The sequence below is a fragment of the Homo sapiens genome, chromosome 4, assembly GCF_000001405.40.
Source record: "Homo sapiens chromosome 4, GRCh38.p14 Primary Assembly".
Taxonomy (NCBI): Eukaryota; Metazoa; Chordata; class Mammalia; order Primates; family Hominidae; genus Homo; species Homo sapiens.
The window spans coordinates 19,447,637-19,474,457 of NC_000004.12; the positions used below are offsets into that span (position 1 = coordinate 19,447,637).

Sequence of the window (26,821 nt, forward strand, 5' to 3'; positions counted from 1 at the left end):
ACTGTTCAGCCATTAAAAAGGAATGACATCATGTCTTTTGGGCAGCATGGACGGAACTGGAAATCATTATGTTAAGCAAACTAAACCAGGCACAGAAAGACAAATATTATGTTTTCTCACTTATATGTGGGAGCTAAAAAAGTTGAATTGATGAAGTAGGGAGTACAGTGATAGATATCAAAGGGCCTGTGAGGTGAAGGAGTATAAAGAGGGTTTGGCTATGTGGGAATTCAAGATGAGATTTGGGTGGGGACATAGCCAAACCATATCACAAAGATAGAAGGAATAAGTTCTAATGTGTGATAACAGAGTAGGCTGACTATATTTAACAACAATATATTGTTTATTTCAATATAGTTGGAAGAAAGACTTAAAATGTTTCCAACACATAGAAATGTTAAATACTCCAGGTTATGGAAACCCCAAATATCCTGACTTGATCATTACACATACTATGTATGTAACAAAATATTACATGTGCTCCATAAATATGTATGAACACTGTGTATCAATAATAAATAAATGAATGCATAAATTTGAGAGTTTGCTTTTTCAGTGCAAAAAAGAAATAGTTTACCATGTATGGTTTGTATGACAAGGTGCAAATGACTTAATTTCTTTCTTTATGTAAATAGAAACAATAATTATACAATAATTATCACATAATGACTTGCTAATTTAAATAATATGGCAACATACAGACAGCAGTTTATCAGGGTCTAGCACAATGTCTTTGGCTCATAAATATCTGTTGAATGATTGTGTAAATGAAGAAATAAAGAATTAATGTTCTGGGAGTTAAAACATGTCAAATATATCATGGCATATACCAGTGCCCAGTGCACAGTCATTGCTGAAAATATATTTCTTCTTTTTCCTCTATAATTTCACAATGACTAGGAAATCTCAAGTTAACAATAGGATTTCATGGGCATGACAGTTAGTAAACTCGAGAATAATTAATAACACTGGGTAAAAAAGGTATTTTTCTGAATGTCTCTTAGAGCTTGCTTTACTCTTGTGTGCAGTATTCTCACATTATACATTTATTTGTAAAGAAACAGTGATTTATCAAGTTATTTCTCTATAAAGAACTTTGCTTCGAGTGCTATGAAAGCTTACAGTACAGGGAAAGCCAAGTTCCTCTCAAAAAGAATACTATTTTACTAGAGACAAAAGAAGCTTAGTCCTTGAAAATACTATCAAAGGAAAAATATAAACCAATATGACTTTTTAGTGTCAAAATCCATGCCACAAGAAAGGACATGTCTGGAGCCAGGTGGACTTAGTTGGGAGGAGATTACTGGAGATGGAATTGCTTTTCATCCATTAAATGTGATATTTATTTGTTTAGCAACTGGCACACCACAAGGTGTTCTACATATGATATTTTACATATGATACATCATAATATACATGATATATTTTAGGTGATACATCGTAATCATCCAAAGTCTATCATTTAAGTTAGCATTAACTCTTGAGTGTTGAACATTCTACGGATTTGTACAAATGTATAATGACATTTATTCACTATTATAGTTCTCTTTCAGAGTATTTTCACTGACCTAAAAATCCCCTTTTCTCCAACTATTCATCCTTACCTCCCACTTCCAACTTGTATTTCACTGTTATTTCAATTTGCATTTTCCTTATCAAATATGATGTGGAGCATGTATTCATGTGGTTCTTTGCCATTTGTTTACGTTATTTGGTGAGATGTTTGTTAAGGTCTTTGGCATATTTTTTTTTTTTTTTTTTTTTGAAACGGAGTCTCACTGTGTCGCCAGGCTGGAGTGCAGTGGCACAATCTCCGCTCACTGCAACCTCCGCCTCCCGGGTTCAAGCAATTCTCCTGCCTCAGCCTCCCGAGTAGCTGGGACTACAGGCGCCTGCTACCACACCCGGCTAATTTTTTGTATTTTTGGTAGAGACGGGGTTTCATCGTGTTAGCCAGGATGATCTCGATCTCCTGGCCTCGTGATCCACCCGCCCCAGCCTCCCAAAGTGCTGGGATTACACTATGATTCATTTTAAGATACTTTTTGTGAAATATGTAAGGTCTCTGCTTGGATCCTTTTTCTTCCCCCTGTGGATGTCCAGTGGTGCTAGCACCACTTCTTGGAAAGACAATCTTGGCTTCATTGTATTTCCTTTGATACTTTGTAAAAGACAAATTGACTACACAATTGATCCTTGAAGAACACAGAGGTTAGGGTCACTGTATTAGTCCATTCTCACACTGCTCTAAGAACATATCCAAGACCATGTAATAAAGGAAAGAGGTTTAATTGGCTCACAATTCCATATGGCTGGGGAGGTCTCAGGAAACTTATAATAGGGATGAAAGGGGAAGAAAACACATACTTCTTTACAGGGAAGCAGGAGAGAGAAGTGCTGAGCAAAGGGGGAAAAGACCATTATAAAACCGTTAGATCTCATGAGAACACACCATCACGAGAACACATGAAGGCAATTGCCTCCATGATTCAATTCCTTCCACTGGATCCCTCCCATGACATACGGGCATTATAGGAACTAAATTCAAGGTAAGACTTGGGTGGGGACATGGCCAAACCATATCATTCCATCCCTGGTCCCACCTAAATCTCATGTCCTCCCATTTCAAACACAATCATGGCCTTTCAACAGTCTCCCAAAATCTTAACTCATTCCAGCATCAACACAAAATTCCATATCCAAAGTTGCAACTGAGACAAGCAAGTCGCTTCTGCCTATGAGCATGTAAAATCAAAAGCATGTTAGTAAATACGTAGATACAGTGGGGTTACAGGCATTGGGTAAATACACCTGATCCAAAAGGGAGAAATTGGCCACAACAAAGGGCCTGCAGGTGCCATGCAAGTCTGAAATCCAAGAAGGCAGTCATTAAGCCGTAACATGCCAAAATGATTTCCTTTGACTCCATGTCTCACATCCAGGGCACATTGATGCAAGAGGTGGGCTCCCATGGCCTTGGGCATCTCTGCCCTTGTGGCTTTGCAGGGTACAGCCCCCCTCCCGCCTGCTTTCTTGAGCCGATGTTGAGTGTCTGTGGCTTTTCCAGGTGCATAATGCAAACTGTCGGTGGATCTACTACCATTGTGGGGTCTGGAAGACAGTGGCCCTCTTCTCACTGCTCCACTAGGCTGTGCCCTATTAGGGACTCTGTGTGGTGGCTCCAACGCCACATTTCCCTTCCACTCTGCCCTAGCAGAGGTTTTTCATGAGGGCCCTGCTGCTGCAGCAAACTTCTGCCTAGTCATTCAGGCATTTTCATACACCCCCTGAAATCCCAAACCTCAATTATTGACTTCCGTGTACCTGCAGGCCCAACACCATGTGCACACTGCCCATGCTTGGGGATTGCAACCTCTGAAGTAATGGCCTAAGCTGTAAATTGGTCCCTTTTAGCCACCGTTGGAGCCGAAGCACCTGGGATTTAGGGCACCATGTCACATGGCTGCACAGAGCAGGGGGACCCTGGGCTTGGCCCATGAAATAATTTTTCCCTCCTAGGCCTCTGGGCCTGTGATGGAAGGGGCTGCTACAAAAGTCTCTGACATGCCATAGAGACATTTTCCCCATTGTCTTGGTGATTAACATTCAGCTCCTCATTACTTATGCAAATTTGTGTAGCCAGCTTCAATTTCTCTCCGAAATGGGGTTTTCTTTTCCAACACATCATTAGGTTTCAAAGTTTCCAGACTTTTATAGTCTACTTTCTCTAAGGCTTTCCCTGTAGACATTTCTTCTGCCAGATACCTTAAATCATCTCTCCCAAGTTCAAAGTTCCACAGATCTCTAGGGTAGTGGCAAAATGCCACCAGTCTCTTTGCATAGCAAGAGTGACCTTTACTCCAGTTCCCAACAAGTTCCTTATCTCCATCTGAGACCCCTTAGCCTGGACCTCAGTGTCCATATTACTCTGATCATTTCCGTCAAAGCTACTCAAGAAGACTCTAGGAAGTTCCAAAGTTTCCCACATCTTCCTGTCTTCTGAGCCCTCCAAGTCTCTAGAAAGTTCCAAATTTTCCCACATTTTCTTATCTTCTTCTGAGCCTTCCAAAATGTTCCGACCTCAACCTGTTACCCAGTTCCAAAGTCACATGCACATTTTCGGGTATCTTTATAGCAGCACCCCATTCCTGGTATGAATTTACTGCATCAGTTTATTCTCATGTTGCTATAAGGCAAACCCAAGACTGAGTAATTTATAAAGAAAAGATGTTGGCCTGGCACAGTGGCTCATGCCTCTAATCTGAGCACTTTGGGAGGCTGAGGCGGGCGGATCACGAGGTCAGGAGATTGAGAGCATCCTGGCTAACATGGTGAAACCCCGTCTCTACTAAAAATACAAAAATAAAATTAGCCAGCCTTGGTGGCGGGTATCTGTAGTCCCAGCTACTCAGGAGACTGAGATGGGAAAATGGTGTAAACCCAGTAGGTGGAGCTTGCAGTGAGCCAAGATGGTGCCACTGCACTGCATCCTGGGTGACAGAGCAAGACTCTGTCTCAAAAAAAAAAAAAAAAAAAAAAAAAAAAAACAGAAAAGAAAGATGTTTAATTGACTCACAGTTCTGCATAGCTGGGGAGGTCTCCAGAAACTTACAATCGTGGTGGAAGGGGAAGTAAACATGTTCTTCTTCACAGGGCAGCAGGAAAGAGAAGTGTCAGTCAAAGAAGAAAAAATCCCTTATAAAACCATCAGATCTCGAAAGAACTCATTATCATGAGAATAACATGAGGGTAACTGCCCTTATGTTTCAATTACCTCTCACTGGGTCCTTCTCATGACAGTTGCTAACCTCCATGGAATGAAAAATCCACTTGTAACTTTTGACTCCTCAAAACCTAACTACTAATGGCTTACTGTTGAACAGAAGCCTGACTGACAACATAAACAGTTGATTAACACATATTTTGTATGTTATATGCATTCATATTACAATATTACAATAAAGTAGGCTAGAGAAAAGTAAATTATAAGAAAATCGTAAGAAAAAGAAAATATATTTATTTTTCATTAAGTTAAAGTGGATCATCATAAAGGTTTTCATTCTCATCTTCTTCACATTGAGATGGCTGAGATGGAGGAGGAAGAGGAGGGTTTGGTTTTGCTCTCTCAGGGGTGGCAGAGGCAGAAAAAGTTCATATATAAGCAGATCCATACAATTCAAACCCATGGTGTTCAGTGGTCAACTGTATGTGTGTGGGCATATTTCTGGGCTCTGTATTGTTCCATTGATCTATTAATCTTTTCTTTTATCAATACCAGACTGTCTTGATTACTGTTTTTATTTTTATCTTTGTGTTTGTAAGATGGTTAACAGCATCAACTGAGAGTAAGTGTTCTCAGTAGAGAAAAAGAGAGAGGAGAGAGAGAGAGAGAGAGATTGTTTCCAAAACCATCCAATAAAAGTTTTCAGTCTTCCACTGTTAACTCACTTCTGAATAAATTTTTATGGCAAAGCACATAAAGGAGGATGATAGTTCAAGATATCAGGACTAATCACTGGAAAAGTGGATGAGGAAGACTTTTAATTTTAACTGACACATCAGGAATCTAAAGAAATCTAGATCTATATTAACAGTTGTAGAAATGATAAATTTAATCATATGCCTTGGAAAGGAAATGAAATGAAGGAAATGATAGATGTACTAAGCTAATTAAAAACAGAATACCGTTGAATTTTCTAAGACCGAAATTTTGAAAAAAAACAATGGAAAAGTAGAGGTACTAAACACATTATTTAATTCACTCCCTTCTGAGACAATAATATGTCCTCTGGGTTACATATGTGTCTCAATAAGATGTTTGACATAATTTGGTTCTGTGTTCCCACTCAAATCTCATCTCGAATTGTAATCCCCGTGTGTCAAAGGAGGCAGCTGGTGGGAGGTGATTGCATCAAGGGGGCAGATTTCCCCCATGATGTTCTCATGATAGTGAGTTTTCATGAGATCTCGTTGTTTGATAAATATCTGGTGCTTCCCCCTTCTCACTCTCTCTCTCCTGACACCATGTAAAATGTGCCTTGCTTCCCCTTCACTTTCTACCATAAGTGAAAGTTTCCTGAGGCCTCCCCAGCCATGGGGAACTGTGAATCAATTAAACCTCTTTCCTTTATAAATTACCCAGTCTCAGATAGTATCTTTATAGCAGTGTGAGAACAGAGTGATAGTGTCTCAGTTCGAGTACAGATGAGCTGGATGTCATAATAATATAAATTCTGACATACTGTCTGTGCTTGAGTTCTGACAACGCCAATTCCTAGTTGCATTATTTTGGACAGAAAATGATTTATGTCCCACTCTGTTTCCTCATCTGTAAAATGCTAACAACAATGGTAACTGCTTTGCACTGTTTCTGTAAACATGATCAAATAATGTATACAATGTATATAATGCTCAGTAAAATGCCTGACATTTGTAAACTCAATTTATGCTAGCTAATAATTTGGTTGAGATCAATCAAGCATTAGACTTATGAAGATTTATACATTTGTTCTGCAAAGCCATCTATCTGCTTGTTATTTCTATCTAATATTCTGCGTAAATTACTTCCAGTCAATGTCATTGTTTCTATCTGTGAAGAATTAAAAGAGTGATAGGAACAAGGATAAACAACAAGTTGTTTTGGCATTCTTACAAACGGGCTTTCATTTTTGATTTGCTTTCCTGTTCCAGGAATTTGTTTATTTGCAAAAGACAAAAATAAAAGCTACTAAGGGCTTCATGCCATGCAATCAGAGGAAAACTTGGCATGGCTTTGAAACTTTGTGATCAAAGCACTTGGGAAAACATGTTAGGGGTACCCAAGAATATTTGGTTTTGTGATGGGTTACATGTGACGTTAAAGAGCTTTAATTTAGAGGCACAAATTGGCATAGACTAGAGAAAAATATAACATATTCAAAGGTACCTGATTGCTCTTAGTTGTCGTTACATGAGGTTATTACCACCACTGACCTTCAATCATAATCAGCTTCACATATATAGTAAAGAGTTGGACAATTAAGAATCCTCATGGTAAGAGAGAACTTTTGGAGTCACAAATCCTTGAGTCTTCTCCATTTCTGCCACCTGCTTGGTGGCCACCATCTTGGACAAGCTGGTTAACATCTATAAGAATTGATTTCCTCATCTGATATATTTGTATAATAACATTGATCTCAGGGCTTTTGAAAGCATTAAATATATATAAAGCCCAGCATGGTGGCTCACACCTACAGTCCTACCTACTGGGAGTATGTGATTATGGAGTATCCATTGTGTGACGTAAAAGTATGTGTGTCTTATAGTAAAGTGCTCCATAATCACATACTTTATTTTTCATGTGTTCATATGTTCATATATATCACTTGTTATAAAACACATCTTAAGTCCATTATGAAGCTTATATCTACCTTAAACAATGCATGCTTGTATATAATAATTTTTAAAAAGAAAAAAATATAAATAATAGAAAGGCTGGAACAACAAATGAATACAGGAATGATGCTAATATAAAAATACAAACCCTAAATTTTCTTTATATATTTTGAGGGTAAGCTAGTTTCAGATTTTTCTCTAAGGTTTTGTAGGAAGAGAAAAATTGGTCACACTAACGCCATTTTAAAATATGCCCCCATCTGTAAGAGGCAGAGCCACCTGAGGTGAAAAGGTAAACGGCTTGTGTAAGATTTGGCTGAAAGTCCAGAAATTAACTCAAGTCCTGGAACATGTCCTGGGACACTCCCCCGGAACGATTGTTCAAGTCCTGGAGTACGTTTCGGAACGCTGCTCCCGGAACACCGCTCCTGGAGCGATTGTTTCAATGTTGCTTGCTCGGAATGGCCCTCCTGAGCAAACAACAGACGGTGCTCAAAGTAACAACTGGACTTAATAAAAGGAGCTTACACGAAGGAGGAGCTGAAGGCTGCTGTGGTCGTGTGCTGGGGGCTGCCCCAGCTCCAGCTGCAGGACCCCGGCCGTCTGCCTTCCGACTCCGGTGATGATTCTTCCTGCGGTCTGGTGAGCTTTGGTTACATGTTGTCTTCTATTGTTAGTTCTTTTATACCTACTTAAGACCTGCTTTTGCTGTGATATTTGCTCACTTTTTTTTTCTTTTTTTTTTCGAGATGGAGTCTCACTCTGTCACCCAGGCTGGAGGGCAGTGGTGCAATCTCGGCTCACTGCAGTCTCCGCCTCCAGGTTCCAGCAATTCTCCTGTCTCAGCTTCCCAAGTAGCTGGGATTACAGGCATGCGCCACCACACCCGGCTAATTTTTGTATTTTTAGTAGAGTGAACTATGTTGACCAGTCTGGTCTCGAACTCCCGACCCTAAGGTGATCCGCCCCCCGGGGCCTCCCAAAGTGCTGAGATTATAGGCGTGAGCCACCGCGCCTGGCCTTGCTTAACGACTGCAGGCTCCCGGGCATCTCCCTTCAGACTCCCGTGATAGGGCTTCCTGTGGTATTATGAGCTTCCGGTTACATTTTACTGAGCTTTGGTTACATTTTGTTTTCTCTTGTTATAAGGCTAATTTTCTATTGCTATTTGCTTAAAGTAATAAAGTTTTAGTTTACCCCTCCCTCCCACTTGAGTGTTCGGCTGTCCTTCTGACACCATCTTGAAACAGGTTTATTCAAAGATAAAAAAGGCAGTACGAACTCTGCAATAATTCACAGAGCCCATTACATAATGTAAAACAACCAGTCAGTGAAAGCAAAACTCTTCATTCGTTACTGAGACTCCTACTTGTGAAGCTGCTGGGGAGGTGACGGGAGGACAACTGGCTGCACCCCTCAAACACTGCTCTGGCAGCCCAGTCCCCACAGCTCCGTTTCTGAGCCCTGGCGTCCACTACTGTCTGGCCTATGGGCAGTACGCTCCTCAGTTTGGTTTCCCTCTCTTCTGCCCACACCTTGGTAATTAGACCTGCATTAATTAGCTTCCACTGTGTTATGCCGAGATAAAAACTACCCCCACATTTTAGTGTCTTTTAACAATAGTTTTTCACTTACATTGTGTGGAAATCACCGGAGGTTGGTGGCAGCTCTGCTCCACCTGTCTCATCTTGAAGAGGATGAGTCCAGACTGAAGATGCAGCCCGTATGTGGAATATGCCACTTCTGAGGCAGACAGGAAGAACCTGAGAGCTGCCAGAAACAAGCAGCCCTCTTAAAGCTTTCATTCGCACTTTGGGAGGCCGAGGCGGGCGGGTCACGAGGTCAGGACATCAAGACCATCCTGGCTAACATGGTGAAACCCCGTCTCTACTAACAATACAAAAAAACAAAAACAAACAAAAAAAAATTAGCCGGGCATGATGGCAGGCGCCTGTGGTCCCGCGTACTCGGGAGGCTGAGGCAGGAGAATGGCGTGAACCCGGGAGGCGGAGCTTGCAGTGAGCCGAGATCGCGCCACTGCACTCCAGCCTGGGACACAGAGCGAGACTCCGTCTGGAAAAAAAAAAAAAAAAAAAAAAGCTTTCATTCAGCTCTGACATCTCCTGTCCCATGTCATGAGTGTGTCAGGGTGTAGTGCAAGCTGCCAAACGTGCTTCTCCCAAAAGAAGGCCTCTTGAGGGACAGAACTCTGGGTTGTGGTTGGAGGGTGTGTATCGGTGAGAGGATGGTGGATGTGTAATTCCCTTACAGGAAAGGGGACTGCTGCTCACCGGGAATGGTAATATAATCTGCAGCCTTTTAAAACTTTGCTCAACTTTCTTAATCAGAATCACTTGTCTCCTAGCATTCTGACCTTTACATTGTTTAGGGGAGAAAGAAAACAGATACTCCAGTTGAGGAGGGATGATATTCAGTGACAAAACCTTGGCAATAAAAATATTGACAAAATGAACATTCATACAATTTTTAAAATGTAAACAAAATGTTTCAAAAATATGTATTATTGTTTGCTATATTCCCTCTTTAAACTATCATGACTTCTTAAATTATCTTACCAGTACCTACCTATTTACTGCACGCTTTACAGAAGAGGAGTCTTTCTAAGGCTGTGTATACATTTGCCACAGAACCAAATGGGTTTGTTTACTGTTAGTTTTATATATTCCTCTAGGTCATTAATTTTATACAAGATTCAAGAGTATTTATTTGTGTTGGTAAACCGTAATCCATAATTCTCATTTATTTATTTATTGTAGAGACAGAATCTCATTACGTTGCCCAGGCTGGTCTCAGACACCTGGGCTCAGGCAGTCCTCCTGCCTAGGCTTCCCAAAGTGCTGGATTAGACATGAGCCACTGCACCTGGCCCATAATCCATCAATCATTGCACCAATCTACTATACCAGCCCTTTTGGTTATTTCTATTTTTTTTTTACTATTGTAATTTCACTATGCATTTGTCAAATTATTTTCCTTTTTTTTAAAGTCACATCAAGATTTCAAATCTTATCTCTTTTAAATCTCTTGCTAGTTAGCATTAATGGCCATCCAGAAAAAATACCAATTTTTATTTTCTTTAGGGGTCTCTTTCCTTTACATCTTTCATTATATTCCTTTAAAATTATTAATTTTTAAAAAACTTAAAAAAATTTGTGGGTACATAGTAGGTGTATATATTTATGGGTTACCTGAGATATTTTGATACAGGCATGCAATGTGAAATTTGATCTTTGCTAATCTTAAGGTGAATGATCATACTTCTGGCAACTGGTGAATTCAGTGGTGTATAGATATGCTTGATACATGTTTTTTTGTATAAATACATATATACATGCATATATATAACATGTATACGTACATGTATTATACATATATACATGTATATATATGCAAGTATTTTTTATATATCCACATGTTTTAGTTTCAAATAAATATGCTTGCTTTATAATTTTTCTAATATTAATGTATTTTATACAGAATTTAAAAACAAAGTTATTTGATATGATTCTAAAGATCAAAGTTGTATAAATAATCTTTCATAGTTTTGGTACATTATTAAATTTCAAAAAATAAAAATATAATGAATCCAGAATTAATTTTTAAATATGGTATGATTTAGGCACCTAATATTTTTTAAATAAACAGTCACATTTCCATATATCATTTATAAAATAACATTTTTAACTTTTATTAATTTGACTACCACCTTTATTATATAATTTAGTTTTTACACATTAGTGTTTTCTTATATACCCCATTAAGTGCCTATTTCTCTGCTACTACAACATAATTTAAATTTTTGTCACTTTATACCCTGTTTCTGTAACAGGCCGATCTCTCCTTTTTCTCTCTTTTTAAGTTAAAATTTTTTTTTCCATATACGTAAGTCCATATGAACTTAATTTAAAAACAATGTAAAACAAAATGTTTTTTAATTTTGTTAAATATATACATTATTTTGAAAAAATGCCACTTTTAGTATATTGTCTTCCTGTGCAAGAACATTATCTCTCCATTTACTTTTCTAATATTTATATTGATTAAAGTGTTGTATTTCTCATATTTCTCAAAATTAAAAACATTTCTTGGTTTTTAATTTTTGCCCATTTTCATTATATATCAGATATTTTCAACATAATGTTAGAAAATTATCAATTTAAAACAATAAAATATATTATTGAAAATTTTCTGAATTCTGCCATTGTTTTACAGATATTACTCTTAGTCAAAAATTTTATCCACTGCAGAAAATTATGATTTGAACTCCTCCATTCTGATCAATGATGCTATTGTTGCCTTTGCAATAGCAATGCCAACTCACTTCAGTTACAGTGGTGATTGTAGTATTCTTTCTATTCTTTTATTGTATTTAATTAATATCCTAGTGATTTACCATTAAGTATCATTCTGATCCTTAATTTAAGATTTTTTTTCTTTAATAATATGAAGGAACTATATGTCTTTATTGGACCGTAAGTTTATTTTATTAAAAAGTAATTTTATTAAAGCATTTGAATTTATCAAAACTATTACATATTCATTTTATTTTCCTTCTACATAGAACATGATTCACACTTTTGAATATTAATTTGCAAGTTCAATTCAAAATAGTGTTCTTCCATTGTATCATTTATTATCATTTCCTTTCCACTTGTTTTTTCTCTTTCTTTGCACTGGCATTTCTCTTTATCTGGGAATAAAGATCTCTTTTCCTATACTGGACAAGTCTGGAAACCAAGATAAACTAGACACATTTGAATGCAAAGATCCCATTGCTAGCAAGTAGCATTCCCATTTGACATTTGGCTTGAAGTCTGGTAAAGAGGACGGGTAGGATAAATATGTAGTGAGAAAAAATAATCATATTTTTACCCCTACATCATTACTTGTGCCCATATTGCAGATATTATATAGAGAACAAATGTTTGTTCTTCCATAGCATGTTAATTCCTAAGAGAGTTGGAAACCAAATGAATAATACACTCACTATTTATTTATTTATTTATTTATTTATTTATTTCTGAGATGAGGTCTGGCTCTGTTGCCTAGGCTCAAGTACAGTGGTGCAATCACATTTCACTGCAGTTGAGCCTCAAACTCTCAGACTCAAAGGATCTTCCTGCCTCCACCTCCCACGTAGCTGGGACTAGCGCATTTGTCTAGCACATTAAAGGTGGTTCCTTGTAGAGATAATGTACAATCATATTTTTTTTACTATTTATCTACCTCATTATGTAATCTACAAATAGAAACCATGAAAACCTGTGTATATATACTATATGTCCTTAAATGTACATATGTATGCACCACCATGCCTGGCTTATGTTTTAAAATTTTTTGTAGAGATGAGGTCTCACTGTGTTGCCCAGGTTGATTTTGAACTCCTGGGCTCAAGCAATCCTCCCACTTTGGACCCTCAAAATGCTAGGATTACAGGCATAAGCCACTCATGTTTGTAATAACAGAGTTCAATTGCCTCATCAGGAGATATTTCTGAATTTTCTTCATTCATTAGAACTAGAAGATCTGAATTCTCATGTGGTCATTTTTGTGTCATGTGCTTTCAAAACAAATGGAAGGTATTTCTACTCATTTGGAATGTGTCAATTTGGGAACAATTGTAAATATATATGTAATAGAACTACTTTATTGAGAATGAAAGGAGTGCAATTGAGCATGTGGATTGTAATTTTACCCTCAGCCTATCTCTCACAATATCACTGGAACACCCAACCCTCTTTATTGCCTTTTCCTACACCTTATTCTCTTCACTTGAAACTCTATTTTTTCCAAGAGTAAAGCTATGTTATCATCAGATTAAACAAGGCTCTGGCAGCTACTCTTCACTGTTACTCTTCACCTAGACTGCCTAGCGATTTTCTCTTTTGCTGTTGAATAGCTTCAGAATGTGGCTCTTGCTCCCTACTCTATTCACAGTTGCCACTGGTCCTCTCACTCTTCCTACCATAATTCATGGCCTGGAATGGAGGTTTCTCTTCCATCAGTGACTTGATAGAGAAAGAGAAGAGAAGAGAAATGAGCTTCTTGCTCATTCCCCAAAGGACATGCTGAAACTTCTTGTGCTTTATGGGCTTTACTTTCATGAATGTTAAGATGTTTTCTTTTTGGGCATTGTCAGAGAACAATGAAAGGATAGCTTACAATCAAAAGTCTTTTTTTAATAATAGCAAATAGGTTTTCCAGGAACATCTTAGTCATAGTGTCAGTATCTGCCATATGGAAATATTTTTATGAGTATCTGCCATACTCATCTGCTGTCTCTGAATATCTGCTATAAGTACTCCTGCCTTTCCTTTGTTTCAGAATCTTAATTTTTATATATTAGTCCCAGTTTTCTTCCAGTATTTTTTTATAGTAGGCCTAGGTTTTCATGCAGTAGAAGACACATTGGTCTACCAGGATATTCTACTATTCCCAAAGTAGACTTACTAATTAAGTTCCATGGTCTTAAAAGATATTTTACTTTGTGGTTATCTGCCTTTTCTGTTTAAGGGAACATATCTGATGTTGAAGCCATTTTTTGCCTTAGTTTAGCCTATCCTAAAGGTTACATATACATCCACTGATAAATTAGCGAGACCAACAAATATTAATGTGGGATGTAGCTGCCAGAGCCTTGTTTAATCTGGTGATAACATGGCTTTACTCTTGGAAAACATAGAGTTTAAATAACACTTTTATAGAAATGATCTCATTTTATCTTTACAAGAGGACAACAAATTGTACTTCATTTTATGGGGGAAAATCTTAGTAAGGCTGAGAGAAACTAAACCACTTGCCCATAGTTAGCCTGCCAAGAGAGTGAAACAACTAGGGTTTCCCCTCAGGATTTTTGTCCCTCATTACTAAATAATTAAATTTCCAAACTGGACTTTTGGACACAAGACATTGCCTTGAAGGGCTCATCTATTTCTTATTTGAAACTAGATATAGTTTTGAAATCAACTCATCCTTCCCCTCTCAAACTAGTTTCTTCTCTTACATTATCGATATTCTCCTAGAAATCTGGGGGCCTTTTGTCAGCCATTAACCCTTCCCCTCATGTACACATATACATACGTGTCAAGTCCTAGTGACTTTCCTCCTAAATGTTTTTTGAACTTTTCTCCTTACACAATGCCCCTACTTCCATTTCCTTAGTTCTGAATCTTGAAACTCTTCACAGGAATCACTACACTGTCTTTTCAACTGGTCCTCTTCTCTCCAAAGATTTATTGCCACCAACAGAGCATGATCAAATAGATATGACTCATTGTGTCAAAATAGATATAAGATTCACTATAAACAGATCTTTTTCTACCTAAGCAATGCATCATTTGACACTCCCTGCCTCGTAGTCTATGCTTTAGAAATCCTGATTTACCAATTACCTACATTTTCTGTGGTTCATCTTTCTCTTGTCTCTATCTTTTCTGTATACTTCTCTTTCTGTTGGAGATTTCTTTATCTTCTCCATATGCCTCATTCCTTTTTGTTCATGCATTGCCTTCATCATGCAACTTTCACTAACATCTTCAATTATTGTGCAAAGGATCCCTTCCTGGTGTTGCTATAACACCATAATACAATGTTAATACATTTATTGCTGTACTTTATTAGTTGTTAAGATTTATATTATTTCCAGTGTGTTGGTATAATGTATTTATCTCTTTATTTGATAATTAAATATTTATGTCAGATATCTTGTCTGTTTATATGCTCTCTCTCCTAATTAAACTGTAATCTTTTTAAGGGAATTATTTTCACTGACTCCTTACTTTGTCTAGCATATTAAAGGTGGTACCTTGTAAAGATAATGTACAATCACATATTTATTTACTATTTATCTCATTATGTAATCTACAAATAGAAACCATGAACATCTGTGTATATATACGTATATCCTTAAATGTACATATAAATGGACATACATGTGCACACATACATACATGGGATATATACACAAATATCCATGTGTGTCTACAACATATATGTATGTGTTCTTTTTTTCTCTCCCTCTCCAACTGAAAGGATACATGTTCTTTGAATTTAAAGTTTGGAATATAAAGACTTGAAGAAATATTTTACACAAAATTAAACATCTGATTCTAAAATCCAAACCCTACTCTAAGGAGTATGCTTGTGTGGGCCAGTAAAACTGAATGAGTTGGGCATGAGTTGGATGGGAGGATATAGATGGTTTTGCACTAGTTTCTCAGCTATTCCCTGATTAGAATAGTGTCTTGGGTTGTGTATTGAGGTCAAGTTGTTGACAAAGGTGACAATATCATCTTCCCTACAGTGTTATATAAAATATAAAACTGTTAGTGTAAGTGAATCCAAGAATGTAGAAAGGTCAAATCCTTAGAAAAACTCCTGTAATTCACAAAGTCTGTGCATTCTGAGAAGTGAATACAAAAAAAATTGCAATTTGTTTTATATATTGTACGTAATCATTACACACTATGCAAACACATTCATTAAAGGGATTTTAAAGTATAGATTAAATAAGTGATGATTCAAACATATAATATTAAGCAGAAATATTTTGTGGATTGCTAAATAAGGCGGTAAAGTATTTAATATCCTGGATAATTTTTTGTGCTTTTAGATGGGTTGAAAACACGTTTTTCACCATTTAAAATAAGGCATACAGGCTTCCACTATCAGAAATATTGCTAACACCTTGTGGGGAAATAATTTGATTGAGAAAAGCAGGAGAATACACACCCAAAGATAATAATAAATATATATATATCACATATAAATACATATATATGTATATATACATTTATATGTACATGTATATGTGTGTGTGTTTACATATCAATCATATGTAAAGCACATGAGACAAAGCCATATCACAGTCCTACTGCTTTACTACTATTTTCCTGGTTATGAGATATGATTGATTTCAGCAAAAGTCTCAATACTTATTAAGTGGACCTACCTTAGAATATTTTTTCTATTCTAATGCTATATTATTAGAACATTTTAATATATTTTAGTCTTATATTTTGATATGTATGTTTCAATTTAAAAAATTTTTTCTGTCTCTTGTACTAACAGCTTCCATTTTCTGATTAAATCACCTCTAATTTTATGTAAAGCATCTAATACACTGTCTTTGTGAAACTGAAGTCTGTGACATGGGGAAGTGGGGTTCTATGATTAAGAATGAAAGACTTGATGCCCTCTTATTGTGTTGTTTTCCTTTTTTTTTTTTTTTTTTTTTAATGAGTGGTTGGGACATGCAAGGTTTCTCTGTTTCTGCAAGGCCAGGATTCTGTATCAAATGTCACTTCCCCCAAATTAAGATTCTAACTCAATCTAAATACCAAGCACCTCATCTACTAATTAATGGCATCTGTAGATTCCAAGCCTAGAATTTCCTTTGATTTATTTCATGTTCAAACTTAAACTGTTCTTTAGGGATATAAGTATCCTTATTTCATCAGTCCTAATAAAGCTCAATTTATTCAAATCCCTTGCAAGAACTTGAGCATCTCACACTTAAAACATAGTGATTATTTCTAATCCTTGTTAAGCAAATCACTCTAACCATCATACCGTTGACATCTAGAGGAGCATATTCAGGGTTAGGGAATTCTTTTTCCCTAGCTGGAAAGTTTCACAGTGTAATGAACCTAGCTCTAGATCAGCAGTTCTCATACTCGTCATATAAGTGTAAGCAGCACAATCACCTGGAAGGCTTATTTAGACACAGATTGCTGAACCCCACCCCCAGAGTATTAGATTCAATAGGCCTCGGTTAGAGCCCAAAATTTGCATTTCTAACAACTTCCCAAGTTACCTCATGCTGCTGGAGCCAAAACTGCACTTTGAGAACTATTGCTCTAGATCAAAACCCAACACTCTTGCTTCTTACACTTAACTCTTTATTAAACATGTAACTTTAAGTTTGTGCCTTGTTCTCCCTGAGCTTCAAGTTCCTCATTAGCTCTGTAACATAGTTCAGTGCTCATAAGGGCCACACACATGCTAAGCAGCTGAGCTATGAAAGAGAGAACATACCCATGAACAATGGTCAGACCATATATAACAGTAGAACCTCTGTCCCAAAATCTCTGCAGCAACCAGCCCAGAAACCGCAACCTCTAAAGCAATTGGCCCAGAATGTCAGGACTTGGACAACAACTTACAGCTTTTCCATTATGTCCGTTTCCACCTCAGCACCAACTAGAGAAAACTGACTATGCTCCCCAAACCAACCACAATTCTAGATAACACAAATACAGTTTTCCCATGTCAAAACATCCAATTAGGGCACACCTGAAGCCTTCCCTTTGTTTTCACTATAACATTTTCCCATTTCCATGCTTGCCTTTGAATCTCTGCCAAACACAAGTGATTGCGGCTTACTCCTTTGCTATAGAAAGCTCTGAATATTTATGAATATTATGGAAAACTATTTAGCCTCTGTTTTTACACATTTGGGTGGTCTTAATTTGTTTTCACAGCTAGTACTGAACCAAAACTTCTAAGTTCAGTGGTATTTCTACTTCATCGTAGCTACCACCAGTAAAAATAATAATGTCACAGTTGCATTTTTTCCTGGTATGTTTCTCAGTTTTATAGGGGAGCCACCTTATATGTGAAACATTGTTTATTTCCTGGGGAAAATATAGATAAGTTGTTTTAAGGAGATCACGTTTTAGTGTAAAAAAAAATCTGCTTTACAACAATAGAGGTAAATGCAGAGTATCACAATTGTGCGCACAAAGAGCATATAACCCAAACATGCAGGAAGGAGGGAATCATTCAAAGCGGATTCAGTATAAAATAATCATTTATAGGATACATTTCTACAGGTGCAGGATTCTTAGGAGAGTGATGATAAACTACCCCACAAAGAAAACTCCAGGCTCAAATTGCTTCACCAGTATTTTCTGCCAAACCTTTAAAGAAGAGATTGTACTAATTGTATAAAATTCTTCTAAAAAATTGAAGAGGTGGCAATATTTTTCAACTCATTCTATGATGCCAGCATTTCTTTGATACCAAAACCAGACAAAAGTGTTAAAAAGAAAGAACGCTGTAGACATAAAACATCTCTTACGAACATACGTGGAAAAGTTCTTAATACAATATCAGAAAATTGAATCTAACAATACATAAAATAACATGAAGGACAAATGGAGTTTATATCAGGAATACAAGGTTAATTTAGCATTCACAATTCAATCAATGTAATTCCTGCTATGAACATACTTGTATTAGCCTGTTTTTGTTTTGCTACAAAGAAATACCTGAGACTGGATAATTTATGAAGAAAAGAGGTTGAACTGGCTCATGGTTCCACAGGCTGTACAGGAAGCATGATGGCTTCTGGTGAAGGGGAAGTAGGCACATCTTATATGGCCAGAGCAGGAAGAAGAGAGAGAGCGGGGAGGTACCACACGTTTAAACAACCAGATCTTGTGAGCATTCACTCACTATCACAAGGGCAGCATTGAGGGGAAAAATCTGCCCCCATAATCTAATTGCCTGCCACCAGGCCCTACCTCCACCATTGGGCATTACAATTCGACATGAGATTTGGGTGGGATATGATTGAATAATGGGGGCAGATCCAAACCATATAAATACTAAGAAAGTAAGAAAACATAGAATTATCTCCATAGACTCCATAGGCATTTTACAAATCTAACACCCGTTCCTAATAAAACTTTGTAGCAAACTAGGAACAGAATGGGCTTATTTCAGCTTGAAAAAGAGCCTATACAAAAATTCTACTTCCTTGTTAATTTACTAATTAAGTAGTTAATTAGTAATCATAACTCACTAGGATTCTTACAACCTAGTAAATAGTAAAATATTTAGTGCTTCCCACTTATATAAAGAATAAGGAAAAGAAGACCATTCTAGAACTTGCATTCATCATTGCTACATCCATGGAAAGGTATACTACTCAGTAATAAAAAGGAACAACCCACTAAAAGACACCACAAGATAAAATAATTATACTAAATGAAAGAAGTCAGAGGAGAAAAAAAGGTACATGATATGGACAAAATATTCTATTTATATAAAATTTGAGAAAATGCAAAGTAATCTGTAGTTAAAAAAAGCATATCAGTTGTTGTCTGGAGATGGGCTAGTTTGGAGGCAGGGAGTGAGGGAGGGAGAAGTTACACAGGGGCCTGAGAAAACCTAATGGGTAATTTATTTTTTCATTTCTTGATCATAGTAAAGTTTTTAACTTGTACAGATATATGTCCAAACATCAAATTGTACATTTCAAATATGTGCAGGTTATTTTATATGTATTATACCTCAATAGAGCTACTAAAAATCAATTAAAAAATGTGAAAGGGAGCCAAGAGAATCTTTTAAATTTATTTTTTAAATCTTATTTTAGAACACTAGAGCATAATTCTCCCAAATCTATGAACATTTCTTGCTACACTTGTGTAATTTTGTTCCACAGAATCATGTTTATAGCAATATTATCTGTGCTGTGGTGGAGGTATTTACAGAGAACTTTCTATAGTTACTCTGTACCTCGTACCCCTCTGACCACAAAGAGAGAATAAGAGAATGAGAGGGCAAAAATATTAAATTAAACATTTCAAATTTACAGAGTACACACACACATAAATTATGTATTCACATGCCCCATGCATCACAAATATTTGTGTGTGTGTGTGTATATATATATATATATATTTAATATGCATATATAGTTGTATGTGTATTTATATTACACACAAAAATATATTTTGGGAGTGTGGAGAACCAATAATTGGACAAAATGAGCTTATTGTTTTGTAAACTCATTATGAAGAAATGTATACTGAATATACAGGTATTACTTAGTGACTTGTGGTCTTTAATAGGTTGAAAAATGATTATTCTACTTTATTACAGAGTACATCAATGTCTATTATAAAACTCCATACAACGTTTTCCTCCTAAAACACTATCTGTCATTAAAATACACATAGTGCTGTGTAAATTCCATTAAGTAGCATGTTTTTCAACACAGAAGCCAATGAATATGATTGCATTCAAGTTTTCTCAAAGTTGTTAATAAAAGTTATATCATGCAGCTTAGACACTATAAAGACAGCAGATAAAGAAATGTGCTTCATTCCTCCCTTCTCATCATGATTCTAATAGGGCAATGAAAAGTTGTTTTAATTAAACTTCAGATTGTGCAGATAGTAGAATGTCTCATTTCCTTTTATTTCTGTGCTCCTGCAGAAACGTGCTTGTCTCGGAAAGTGTCAGATGTTCCACATTTTCCTTTTTTTTTTTTAATATGACAAAGGATGGAAGTTGAAATCTGACGATTTTTCATGGAAAGAGAAGACACAAAAAGACTTGTGTAGGAAGAAGGGTTAGGGGAAGCAAAGAGAAAATATCACATCTCTAAAAGGATGCTTTCTAAGTCAATGCCCGTTTCTGACAGATGTGGAAATAGATATCCAAGACAGGAAGTGCGTATCAAGATTGCAAAGTAAGTTAGAGGAGACTCAGGAGTAAAATCTGTTGCCTCTTGAAAGGCACCTAACTCAGGGAGGCTAGTGGAGGTTTTCTCACAACAGGACCTCCAATGTTCTATATCCACATTAATTAAATGGGGGGAAAAGCCTAGGAATCAGATTTTAACCAAAACATGTACTTGGCTGTGTAATACACTTTGCCTTTTTAAAGTGAATAGCCTATGACGGACTCAGCAAATTTGTTCCAGTTAGATAAAGTACTTTCAACTCCTCTCAACAACTGGCAATGCTTAAGTGCCAATAGGCAGGAGTTAAATCAAGGTTTCTAACCTCAGCACTATTGACAGTTAGGGCTGGATACTTTATTGTTGGCGGCTGTTCTGTGCATTGTAAGGTGTTTAACAGCATCCTTGGTCTCTTCCCGCTAGATGCCAGTAGGCCCCATTCCATTTGTGACAACCAAAATGTCTCCAACCATTGCCAAATAGACCCTTAGGAGGCAAAATGTCACCAGGTAAAAATCGTGAGGTAAACCATCTCTAGATGGTTTATTTCTGATATTGCCTATTAAGTTTAACCTGAAGAATACTTGTATTCATTCGGATATAGTTTATTTCTCATCAACTTTTATTTTGTATTTTCCTTTTTTTTTTTTTTTTAATTTCTTGAGACAAGTCTCACTCTGTCGCCCATGCAGTGGCACTATCTCGGCTCACTGTAACCTCCGCCTCCCAGGTTCAAGTGGTTCTCCTGCTTCAGACTCCCAAGTAGCTGGGATTACAGGTGTGTACTACTACACCTGGCAAATTTTTTGTATTTTCAGTAGAGACGGGGTTTCACCATGTTGGTCAGGCTGGTCTCAAACTCCTGACCTCAAATGATCCGCCCACCTCAGCCTCTCAAGGTTTGAGGATTACAGGCGTGCGCCACTGAGCCAGACCCATATTTTCCTATTTTAGATTCACAGGGTACAAGCCTGGGTATGTTACATGGATATGTTGTGTAATGCTAGGGTTTAAGCTTCTGTTTAACCCATCAATCAAACAGTGAATGTATTCCCCAATAGACAGTTTTCAGTCTCCAAACTACTTTCCGTAGTGGGAGAACCCATTCATTGTGGAGGCAAACGTAACTCCGTCTAATCTGCCATGTTGGCTTCTGATTAATGCCTAATCCAGGAAGGCCTGTAAGATTTCAGCTTATCTTTTGTTCCTTGTGTTAGAGCAGGTACTAACTGTAAGCCCCTAGGTAAAATGACCTTGACGTTATTGCACTTCAATTGTCTTACATATCTCTTCTGAACTACTCCTTCCCTATGGTATAAGAGCACTGGGTCTGGGAGATAATGGCCTGGGGATCCACCATCTTGTCTCCCTGTGACACAACACACAAACATGGCTTCTGTTCACAAGTCCCTATTTAATGTTTCTTTTGGTGAAACTGGATTTATCAGCCTCTTTTTTTGGCCTCTCCTCAGATTTTGGGGTAGGTGGGCATAGACCCGCCCACTGTGGAACATTTACGTTCCCACCAGCAGTTTAAAAGCACTCTCTTTTCACTGTAGGCTCACTAGCATATTTTTTTTAATGTTTTAATAATAGCCATTCTAGCTTTTGTGAGATGGTATCTCGTTGTGGTTTTAATTTGCATTTCTGTCATAGTGAGGTTGAGCATTTTTTCATGTTAGTTGACCACTTGTATATCTTCTTTTAAGAAGTGTCAGCTGGGCATGGTGGCTCAGGCCTGTAATTTCAGCACCTTGGGAGGCCAAGGTGGGTGGATCATCTGAGGTCAGGAGTTCAAGACCAGCCTGGTCAACATGGTGAAAACCCTGTCTCTACTAAAAATACAAAAATTATCCGGGAATGGTGGTGTGTGCCTATAGTCCCAGCTACTCGAGAGGCTGAGGCACGAGAATCCCTTGAACCCAGGAGGCCGAGGTTGCAGTGAGCCAAGATCACACCATTGAACTCTAGCCTGGGCAACAAGAGTGAAACTCCATCTCAAAAAAAAAAAAAAGTGTCTATTCATAACTTTTGCCCACTTTTTAATGAGATTATTCATATTTTCTTCCTGATTTGTTTAGCTTCCTTATAGATTCCGGATATTAGTCCTTTGTCAGATGCATAATGTGCAAATATTTTCTCCCATTCTGTAGGTTGCCTGTTTACACTGTTGATAGTTTCTTTTGCTGTGCAGAAGTCTTCAGTTTAAGTCCCATTCGTCAATTTTTATTTTTGTTACATTTGCCTTTGAGGCTTTAGTCATAAATTCTTTGCCTAGGCCAATGTCCAGAAGAGTATTTCCTAGATTTTCTTCTAGGGTGTTTATAGTTTGGGGTCTTACAGGTAAGTCTTAATCCATATTGAGTTAATTTTTGTATATGGTGAGAGATAGGGGTCCAGTTTCATTCTTCTGCATATGGATAGCCAGTTTTCCTGGCCTTATTTATTAAATAGGGTGTCCTTTCGTCATTGTTTATTTTTATCAGTTTTGTGAAAGATCATTTTGTTGTAGAAGTGTGGCTTTGTTTCTGGGCTCTCTATTCTGTTACATTGTTTTGTACCTATACCATGCTGTTTTAGTTACTATACCCTTTTAGTATAGTTTGAAATTAGGTAATGTGATGGCTCCAGCTTTGTTCTTTTTGCTTAGGATTGCTTTAGCTATTTTGGCTCTTTTTTGGCTCCATATGAATTTTAGAATTGTTTTTCCTAATTCTGTGAAAAATTACGTTAGTAATTTGATAAGGATTTTATTGCATCTCTGATTGCTTTGGGCATTATAGACATTTTAATAATACTGATTGTTCCAGTCTGTGAGCATGGGGTGTTTTTTTCATTTGTTTGTGTCTTCTATGATTTCTCTCAACCGTGTTTTATAATTCTCCTTGTAGAGATCTTTGACCTCCCTAGTTAGATGTATTCCTTGATATTTTATATATTTTGGCTATTCTAAGTGAAATTGTTTTCTTGATTTAAGTATCAGCTTGAATTTTACTGGTGTGTAGACATGCTACGGATTTTTGCATGCTGACTTTGTATCCTAATATTTTACTCAAGTTGCTTATCAGGTCTAAGAGTCTTTTCACAGAATCTTTATGATTGTCTAGGTATAGAGTCATATTGTTTGTAATCAGAGATCAGATCACTGGACAGCCTCTTTTCCTATTTGAGTGCCTTTTACTTCATTCTTTTGCCTGATTTCTCTGATTAGGATGCTCAGTACTATAAATATATGAAAGCTCAACAACTAAGTTGCTCCTGAATGAGTTTTGGGTAAGCAAAAAGAAATTAAGGGAGACATCAAAATAATATTTGAAACAAAAGAAAATAGAGACATGACATACCAGATCTTCTGGGATGCAGCAAAAGCTGTTAGGAGGAAAGTTTAAAGCACTATATTCCTACATCATGAAGATAGAAAGCTATCAAATTAACAGCTTAACATCACACACAACTATAAAAACAAGAACAGACCAAATCCAGAGCTAGCAGAAGAAAGAAATAACTAAGTTCAGAGTAGAACTAAATGAAATTGGTATCAAAAATAAATACAAAGGATCAAAAAAATGAAAAGTTGGTTTTTTGAAAGGATGAACAGGATTGATAGACAGCTAGCTTGATTGACAAAGGAAAAATAGAGTATCCAAACAAGCACAATGAGAAATGAAAAAGGTGACATTACAAATGTACCACAGATATATACAAAAGACCCTTAGAGACCACTGCTAGCATCTCTACATGCACAAACTAGAAAACCTAGAGGAAGTGGATAAATTCCTGGAAACAGCCTCCCAAAACTGAATCAGGAAGAAACTGAAATCCTGAATGAGTTACAAATTTGAGTCAGTAATAAAAAACCTACCAATGAAAAAGCCCTAGATCAAATGGATCCACAGCCCAATTCTACCAGACATACAAAGAAGAACTGGTATGGATCTTTCTGAAACTATTCCAAGAAAGTAACTCATTCTACAAACCAGTATCATCCTGATACCAAAGTCTGGCAAGGATACAGCAACAGCAAAAAGAAAACTACAGGCAATATCCGTGATGAACACAGATACGAAAATCCTCAACAAAATACTAGCAAACTGAATCCAGCAGCACATCAAAAAGATAATTCATCATAACCAAGTGGACTTCATTCCTGGGATACAAAGATGTTTCAACATATGCAGATCAATAAATGTGATTCATCATATAAACAGTATTTAAAAAGTATGATAATCTTAATAGATGCAGAAAAAGTATTTGAAAAAAATCCAACATCCTTTCATTATAAAAATCCTCAACAAACTTGGCATCGAGGACCATATCTTAAAATAACATCACACTGAATGCCCAAAAGTTGCAAAAGAATTCTCCCTAAGTATTGGAATAAGACAAGAATGTCTACACTTAACCACTCCCATTCAACACAGTATTGTAAGTCTCATCAAAGTTCAAGTGACTTGACTTTTTTTGTGGTTTGTTTTACTTTGTTTTAATCTACATATAATTGGCTTATTGAAGAATCTCAGTTTTGACTACAAGCAAAATGTTTATTTTGTCCAATTATTGTGGTGTTATGTTGATCACTCCTTTCCTGCAGAAGAATAAACCATTTAATGGAAGTTTAAGCATATTCCATGGGCTTTTGTTCAACTTTCATTTTAATGGTGGTTAATATTCATCTAGTTTTGTCCTCATATCAGATCCTAAGCTCATCTCCAGTATTCCCAATTCAGATCATCTATGGTTCTAGTTGCATGGAGGTGCAAGGTTTGGAAGCTTCATCTTGTCTCAGACACATGCTCCAGAGAGAGGAAAACATAGTTCCTTATTTGGCTGACAAAAGAGATATTCACTCCTCCTTGATTGCCATCATGTGTTTTAAAGATAATTTAACCCCTTGTGAGTGTTTTAATTTCAATGCATGGTCGCCATCTAATTCGCCTAGTTTTTGTAGGTTCCTTGAATCCTTTGGATGATTAAGCCTCATTTGTTTCTGAGCTCCAGCTCACAGTCTTGATCAACAGTGCTCTCATTTGTGTATTCTTAATCTATGGTGCCTTCTAGCAAGTCCATGGTTCACATTTTCCTCCGTGGTCTTCAATTTCAGGGCTTGAGGACATATTATTGATTCCTTGTCTCAGAACCCAGAAATTAGAAAAATGGCCCTACCCTCTCTGTTAGCCTGTCTTACATCTTACCAGGGACCTTTCTCTTGCTTATTTCTCCAATCCTCAGAAGCAGTAGGCAATCTTCCAGGACAATGACTTGGCAAATTTTAGATAGGAGATAATTACAGTCTTAACATTTGGCAACAAAGAGACACTTTGTGTACCCCTAACATAAAAAGTGAGTCTCTCCCCATTTTCTCTCTCCTCATTGTTTTGGTAGGGAATTTGGATGCCTTGCATTAGAATTCTGTTTTAAAGATCTTTAAAAGTTATGAAATTCCTGCCATTATCACTATGATTGCCATACCTCAAATGGTATTACAACTGATTATTTTTCTAATCTGTCATTCTCAGTATTTTGTAAATTTCATTGCAGTAATTGAACCTTCAGCACCAAACACAATTTCTGGAACATAGTATGTCAACAATTATTGAACAAGTGAATACCTGAATAATGTATTCTCTGTGTGTGTGTGTGTGTGTGTGTGTGTGTGTGTGTGTGATTGTATGTTTCTTATGTATATCTTGGGTTTTATTTATATTTCCAATTCTCGTATCAGTATCGCTGTGATTTTATTAATTTAGTTTTATAATAATTTAAATGGCTTATTCCCTTTTGAGGGTCTTTATTTTAATAACAATGGCATCTTAATTTTTCTTGCTGTTTAAGTTTCCAAGAGATACATAGATTTCTTTTTATCAAGTTACAAAAATAAACAAAAATAACAAAAAGCAGATGAGATTTTGAAAACTGAGTGCCTACTTTGGCCCACATATTGTGCTAAACACT

At 36.8% G+C, this 26,821-nt stretch overlaps 2 long non-coding RNA genes across 3 annotated transcripts in view; one reads left to right on the forward strand and one right to left on the reverse strand.

The window, feature by feature from the left end:
* The window catches only part of LINC02438 (long intergenic non-protein coding RNA 2438), a 238,399-nt gene extending 229,045 nt beyond the window's left edge, over positions 1–9,354 (reverse strand). The window contains exon 1 of the long non-coding RNA XR_001741605.2: positions 9,010–9,354. This is a non-coding gene — a long non-coding RNA (long intergenic non-protein coding RNA 2438). The remainder of the gene's footprint in view (positions 1–9,009) is intronic.
* The window catches only part of LOC105374511 (uncharacterized), a 482,145-nt gene continuing 463,105 nt past the window's right edge, over positions 7,782–26,821 (forward strand). For both annotated transcript variants that reach the window (NR_188379.1, NR_188378.1), the window contains exon 1: positions 7,782–8,016. This is a non-coding gene — a long non-coding RNA (uncharacterized LOC105374511). The remainder of the gene's footprint in view (positions 8,017–26,821) is intronic.